General features: G+C 47.3%; 1 long non-coding RNA gene across 1 annotated transcript, besides 1 other annotated feature; it reads left to right on the top strand.

Annotated features, from left to right (window-relative positions):
- Window positions 4,609-5,251: an enhancer, noted in NCBI's record as "H3K27ac-H3K4me1 hESC enhancer chr19:34360033-34360675 (GRCh37/hg19 assembly coordinates)". NCBI's record gives its function as "activates a minimal SCP1, AML or CMV promoter by ChIP-STARR-seq in naive H9 embryonic stem cells {active_cell/tissue: H9 hESC(naive)}" and the evidence as "EXISTENCE:reporter gene assay evidence [ECO:0000049][PMID:30033119]".
- Window positions 5,349-6,355, top strand: LOC124904693 (uncharacterized). Its single transcript, XR_007067230.1, has 2 exons — window positions 5,349-5,560; window positions 5,766-6,355. It is a non-coding gene; the product is annotated as an uncharacterized LOC124904693 (long non-coding RNA).
- Window positions 6,356-6,927: the final 572 nt, after the last annotated feature.

Raw genomic sequence — 6,927 nt, 5'->3', positions numbered from 1 at the left:
ACTAACTTTACACTCCACTTCTCCTTGCCGTAAATTAGACAAACATTCTCCAAAAGTTATACATTTATTTTTGTAAGATATAGAATCATCCCATATGAAATAATAAATTCTGAAATAATAAAATCTGTGATTTCCTCCCTATTTTAGGTTTTCCCGTGAGAACAGTGATATTCATTAATTGTCTACCATGTACTGATGCCTGATGCCTTCATTAATTTCTTTTCTTTTTTCTTTTTCTTTTTTTTTTTTTGAGACGGGGTCTGGTTCTGTAACCCAGGCTTGAGTGCAATGGCATGATCTCAGCTCACTGCAACCTCCTTCTCCTGGGCTCAAGCCATCCTCCCACCTCAGCCTCCCAAGTAGTTGGGACTACAGGCACATGCCACCATACCCAGCTAATTTTTGTATTTTTGGTAGAGATATGGTTTCGCCATGTTGCCCAGGCTGGTCTCAAACTCCTGGGCTTAAACCATCCTCTCTCCTCAGCCTCCCAAAGTGTTGGGATTACAGGCTAAATGTTTTATTTATATTCTTTCATTTAATGGATCACAAACCCATGAGGTCATAGTATAGTCTCCACTTTTCAGATAAGAAGTCCAAGGGGCTCACACTCACCCAGTCACTACCCTCCTTGGCCAACAAGGCCAGCCCTTTTGGGGTTTGTGTGCAGCAGGATTGGAAACAAAGGGGAGGGAGGGAAGGTCAGGGTCAAGAGGGAGAGACCTGGGAAGAGTGCTGCGGAGTGTTGAAAAGACCAGCAACTGCAGCCTTCCAGACAAGAGGCAGGAGAGAAGGGACAGGTTTAAGATGCAGCACTTGTGATCTTGTATCTCCTTCAGAGTGTTTGAGAAATGGCAGGATTGAACTTGTCTGACTTTGAAATTACATTTAAGCTGATGGATTCAGGTTCTTTGTCTGAGACACTGACCTGAGACTGGACCACATGGGTGACAGCTTTATAAGCACTAAGGTTGTTCTGAATGGCCAATTATAAACAATGTTTCCAAGAGAATTCCAAATCAAGACTGAGCATGGGGACACAAAAGCTCTAAGCCCGGTGGCTCTGGGCTCTCAATAGGCCTTGCCTGGGTCTCTAAAGAAGCCTCAGGTGTTTTTATCTGCATGCTCTTTGTGGCTGCCATTGTCATTCTCCTTCTATTTCTGTTCTTCCTTCATGTCCAGACCTCTTCCTCTTTCTCACCATGTAGCAGTCATGAGTTATATTTTTCTTTCTGAGGGGAAAAGAATTTGGCCCTTTCAGATGATTCGTGCCCTCAGGGCCCAAAATGTGCTGTAAGCCATCCGTCACATCTGCTTGTGGGACCCTAAGGCTATGGCCAGGAGTGTGTACCACTGTGATGAAGCCATCTACCTCTGGGCATCCCACAGTGGTGTCCCCTCTCTGAGTCACCAGCTCCCTTTAGGGTCTGCCCCTTCATCTGCCTGCTGGGACCTCTTCTACCATTCCGGCACCTAGAACATGGCTTTTCATGGAATCAGTGTCCAGGAAAGATCTGTTGCACAGAAGCATGGATGAATGGATAAATGGGTAGGAGGATAAATGGGTGGATGGGTGGGTGGATGGGTGGATGGGTGGATGGATGGATGGGTGGGTGGATGGATGGAAGGATGGATGGATGGGTGGGTGGATGGGTGGATGGGTGGATGGATGGATGGGTGGGTGGATGGATGGACGGATGGATGGATGGATGGATGGATGAGTAGGTGGATGGGTGGGTAGGTGGATGGATGGGTAGGTGAATGGATGGGTGAGTGGGTGGTTGAGTGGATGGGTGGATGGGCAAATGAGTGGATGGATGGGTGGGTGGGTGGATGGATGGATGGGTGGGTGGATGGATGGATGGATGGATGGATGGATGAGTAGGTGGATGGGTGGGTAGGTGGATGGATGGGTAGGTGGATGGATGGGTAGGTGAGTGGATGGGTGAGTGGGTGGTTCAGTGGAATGACTGGATGGGCAAATGAGTGGATGGATGGGTGGGTGGGTAGGTGGGTGAATGGGTGGATGGATGGGTGGGTAGGTGGATGGATAAATAGAGCAGTGAATGAGTGGACAGGTAAATGGGTGGATGGGTGGGCAGGTGGGTAGGTGGGCAATATAGTTTTGCTGTGTCCCCACCCAAATCTCATTTTGAATTGTAGTTCCCATAATCCCCACCTGTCATGGGAGGGACCCAATGGGAGGCAATTGAATCATGGGGGCGGTTACCCCCATGCTGTTCTTGTGATAGTGAGTGAGTTCTCACGGGATCTGATGGTTTTATAAGGGTTTTTCCCCTGCTTGCTTGGCAGTTTTCTCTCCTGCTGCCTTGTAAAGAAGGACATATTTGCTTCCCCTCCCGCCATGATTGTAAGTTTCCTGAGGCCTTCCCAGCCAAGCAGAACTGTGAGTCAATTAAATCTCTTTTCTTTTTAAATTACCCAGTCTCAGGTATTTCTTCATTGCAGCATAAGAATGGACTGATACAGTGGGTGAATGGGTGGGTGGATATGTGAATGGGTGGATGGATGGGTGGGTGGGTAGGTGGATAGACGAATGGACGGATGGATAGGTAGATGGGTGGGTAGGTGGGTGGGAGGAAGAATGGGTGGATGGGTGGGTGGATGGATGAACAGACTGGAGGGTGGTCACCAGTATCTTATAAATTCCTGTTAAGAACTAAATATGCTGCACCTCCGAGGAACATAGCATTTTTGAAAGACCTAAGAAGACTACTTTGCACAGAGAAATGTGACCCAAAATCAAGGTTTCTCAAGGTGTGCTCTTCTGACTACCTGTTTTGAGAATCACCTGAGTTGAAGCTGGGCACAGTGGCTCACGTCTGTAATCCTAACACTCTGGGAGGCTGAGGCAGGCGGATAACCTGAGGTCAGGAGTTTGAGACCAGCCTGGCCAACATGGCGAAACCTTGTCTTTACTAAAAATACAAAAATTAGCCAGGTGTGGTGGTGGGCACCTGTAATCCCAGCTACTTAGGAGGCTGAGGCAAAGATAATTGCTTGAACCTGGGAGGTAGAGGCTGTAGTGAGCCGAGATCATGCCACTGCACTTTAGCCTGGGTGACAGAGCAAGACTCTGTCTCCAAAATAAAAAAAATAAAAAGAGAGAGAGAGAGAGAGAATCACCTGAGTTCCCTATTCATTTGAGTCCATGAGCTCTGCCCCAGCACCGCAGACCTACTGAATCAGAAATGTACATTTTCAATAGGCACCCCAGTTAACTCTTGTGCATTCCACTGTTTGAGATCATTGCTTTTCTACAGGTAAGCTTTCAGGAGTTAGGCAGGCTGGTATATTGGAGATGGGGTAGAAAGTCTTACTTGATCTTGGCAGCTGAGACGTTTTTGCTGTCTGCATTAGCCATGGCAGCCCCAGGATCCAGCCCAGCCCTCCTCAACATGAGGTTGAGGATGGGTGGATGGATGGATGGGTGAATGGGTGGGTGGGTAGGTAGATGGGTGGGTATGTGGATGGATGGGTGGGTGGATGGATGGATGGGTGAATGTGTGGGTAGGTAGGTAGATGGGTGGGTATGTGGATGGATGGGTGGGTGGATGGATGGATGGGTGAATGTGTGGGTAGGTAGGTAGATGGGTGGGTATGTGGATGGATGGGTGGATGGATGGATGGATGGATAGATGGATGGATGATTGAGTAGATGGATGGATGGGTAGGTGGATGGGTGGGTAGGTGGATGCCACCAGGCAGAGGCTATGCTCTCACAGCCCCCACCCAATTCTACCCAAAGCAGGATTACTCTTCACACCCTGGAAGCAGGGTGCGTCTTTGCAGCTTTATCTTGCCCCCACCCTCCACTCCACTGCCACCCACAGCCAGCTCCATGTGTCCCAGGGACCCTTGAGGAGAAAGTCCTCCAACCTCTTTGGGTCTGCAGTTTGTGCACAAAGGCTAACTACAAGACTATCCAATTCCCCCCAGGAAGGGGCCCTAGGTTCCTAAGTGGAACCTCAGTTAGCTCATCTGTAAAATGGGGGTAAAAATAACAACCTCTTTGCTTTGTTCAGCAGAGGGCAGCTTGGTTGTTCCAGACACCTCATGAATGTGAGTGCCTTGTGCAAGCCTAAAAATGCACAAACATAAAGGTATAGATGCACACATGCACATTTTAACCTTGAGTCTTGAAGTACCTCTGGGGTGATTTCCTTCCTCCATTGGTGGAGCTGGGGCAAGGCTGTCCTCCTCCCCAAATCCAAACCTTTGTGTGCCTTAAAGGAAAAATGTGTCTCTTGGAGCTCAGTGTGCCATAAAATTTTGCAGAACCTTTGAGAGTTACAGCATCTCCCACAATTCTGTTTACATATTTGATTTTCTTGTTGTATTAGGAATTTGATCAGGTTTGTGATCATCGTACCCAAGTACCTATAAGCTACAGCAGCGACCTGTGTCTATGAATGAGCTGTCTTGCAGGTGTTTGTATTCAATGCATATTCCAAGTGGCCAAAACCCTGTATACATTCCCCATCCCATGTTAACATCATGTTTTTTTTTGCCGAACATAACATGTTTCTGGAAATTCCCAAATCTTTTGCGCTGAAACTCAACAATATTATCAGTCAAATGGTTCTGTGTAAAGAACCCTTTGGTGAACTTGATTTCCCTCTAAGGATATACTCATTTTGAAGGTCATGGTGGTGACTTGCCAGGGCGGTGACCTGAGAATAACCTTTCTTTGCTACCTGTGTTTCTGCTCCGTGGTGTTAGCATTTGGAAGTCTCTTTCCCTTCGAGTTTCCACAGCTAAATAAGTTGCAGCCCCTTCAGCTATACTCATAAAAATTTGCTTCCAGACAACATGGTCTGTTTATTGTGTAATAATCGAAATGGCACTAAATTGCCATGATTGCTGAACACTTAGGAATTGTATTAACCTCTTAAGTGCTAAGTGGTTCTCTGTCATCTTTCAGCTCAGATATGTGGCGAAAACGTTTCTGTCCCTGTGCTTCCCTCACCCCATGTCCTCAGGCCCAAGTTGTGCCCTAGTATCCGGCTGGACTCCGCTTGTACCCTGCTAACCAGAAGAGTGTCCTTCCTGGTTTTGTGGCAGAGATGGGAAGCTGTCCCCAGCAGGGCACCCTGAGAGGCTGGATCGGCCAGTATTGGCCCACAAGGCCCCGATTCTGTCCCCTGGTTTCAGCTGTGTTGTGCCTTTTGATGACAGTCGCTTTATAGCTTGGTTTGAGAACAGATTCTCCAGAGCGGTGGGGGTAGCTGGCTGTTCTGCTGAAGCCACTTTCTTGGAGAAGCTGCTCCTAGAGGTGCCAGTCCGGCTGCCCTGCAGGAAGCTGGGTTGCAGTGGCGTCCCTGGGCCCTGCCCACACTGCTCCTGCGAGCGGCAGGCCCGGGAAGGAAGAGTTAACCAGAAATGGAGCGGCACCGCTCCCGGGCAGGCAGCGTCGCTGCAGAACAGAGCAGCGTTCGTGCTAAGGCAAGTCATTTCCCGAAACACTGCAGACACACGGCCTCAGGCAGCCTAAAACCTTTGGAGACCAAAATGGCTCGCAGGGGTTGGAAGTAATAAGGTGTTTTTCCCTTCTTTCTCCTTCACTGAAATTCTGCGAGGTTGCTCTGCATTTGCTGGGGAACAATGGTGTTGTTTTTGTGTTTTCTATGGGTATTAAGATCCATTACGCTGTGACATTTTTAAGATTGGTTATCCTGTAGTTTGGTGTTAAATTGAAGTTGTTTGTTTTGAATTTAATTCTTTCATTTTTCAAATGGAAAAAGGCAGCTCTGCGGTGTGCGGTGTGGCTGGTTTACTGAAGTGTGCCTGGAACTCGCTTTTCAGCAGATCCCTTTGCCATCCCAGGAACCTCAGCAGAATTAGCCACGAAAGAACATGACCTATTTCCCTATTGGAAAGTCTGTCAGGATCCTTGGAGACGGCTTTCAAAACTGGGGACTGGGGGTCGTCTCCATTGTGTCTCGAGAGAAACAGGAGAGGAGCTGGTTTTTAACAGAATGTTATACATCCAATCTGCTATGCTTAATGCAGCCTGGATATAATTATTACTACTCTCTGTTTACGACAGCAGCCGAATCAGCTTCCATCCAACAAATGGCCCAGCAGCAGTGGGCCAGCCGCCGCCGAAATGACATCTGTTAATTCTTTGTCAAATACCCCCTCGGTCTCCCTTTCTCCCAAACAGCTCTGTGGTTAATTACGACTTGGGCGTCTGACACAGTCTTTCGAGTGGAGAGACAAGCTTAAGGGCAGGGAGAAATTTGGCTTCAAGAAATTCCCTTCTTTCTCTCTCTTAAAAAAAAAAAAGCCGTAGCAAATTGTTTAAAATAAACATTCATTCGTGGCACCAGAATAGGTTGTTGGAATATGTTTTGATTAAGCCCCAAGATTACAGCGTTACTGTATAGCGTTGTGTCGAGAGCCCCAGTCCTTCACGGAAAAAAGAATCACATCAAATCTTTGTAAAGCCATAAAAAAGTTTCCATCAGGAGAACATGGGCAGCCGTTGTGACCCTTGGCCATGTGAGCCAGGGACCTAGTACATGTTTGTGCTGCCATTATCAACTGAGTGAATGGTGAAAGGCAGTTTCATCTTAATTGGTCACTGGAAGTTGAAAAGACCAATCTCATAAACCAAAATGTATGCCCAGCCCAATTAAAGAGGTGCTTTACTTTAAAAAAACAAAACAAAACAAAACAAAACAAAAACCTTTTTAACTTTTTTTTTAAACTGTTTTAAATTTTTTATGTTTTGGCTGGGCTCGGTAGCTCACACCTGTAATCCTAGCACTTTGGGAGGCTGCAATGGGCAGATTGCCTGAGCTCTGGAGTTCAAGACCAACCGGGGCAACATGGCAAAACCTCATATCTACTAAAAATACAAAAAATTAGTTGGGCCTGGTGGCACATGCCTGTAATCCCAGC

Source organism: Homo sapiens, chromosome 19 (assembly GCF_000001405.40).
Source record: "Homo sapiens chromosome 19, GRCh38.p14 Primary Assembly".
Lineage (NCBI taxonomy): Eukaryota > Metazoa > Chordata > Mammalia > Primates > Hominidae > Homo > Homo sapiens.
Note: the sequence above shows the minus strand (reverse complement) of the source record. Positions and strands in the feature narration are given on the sequence as shown.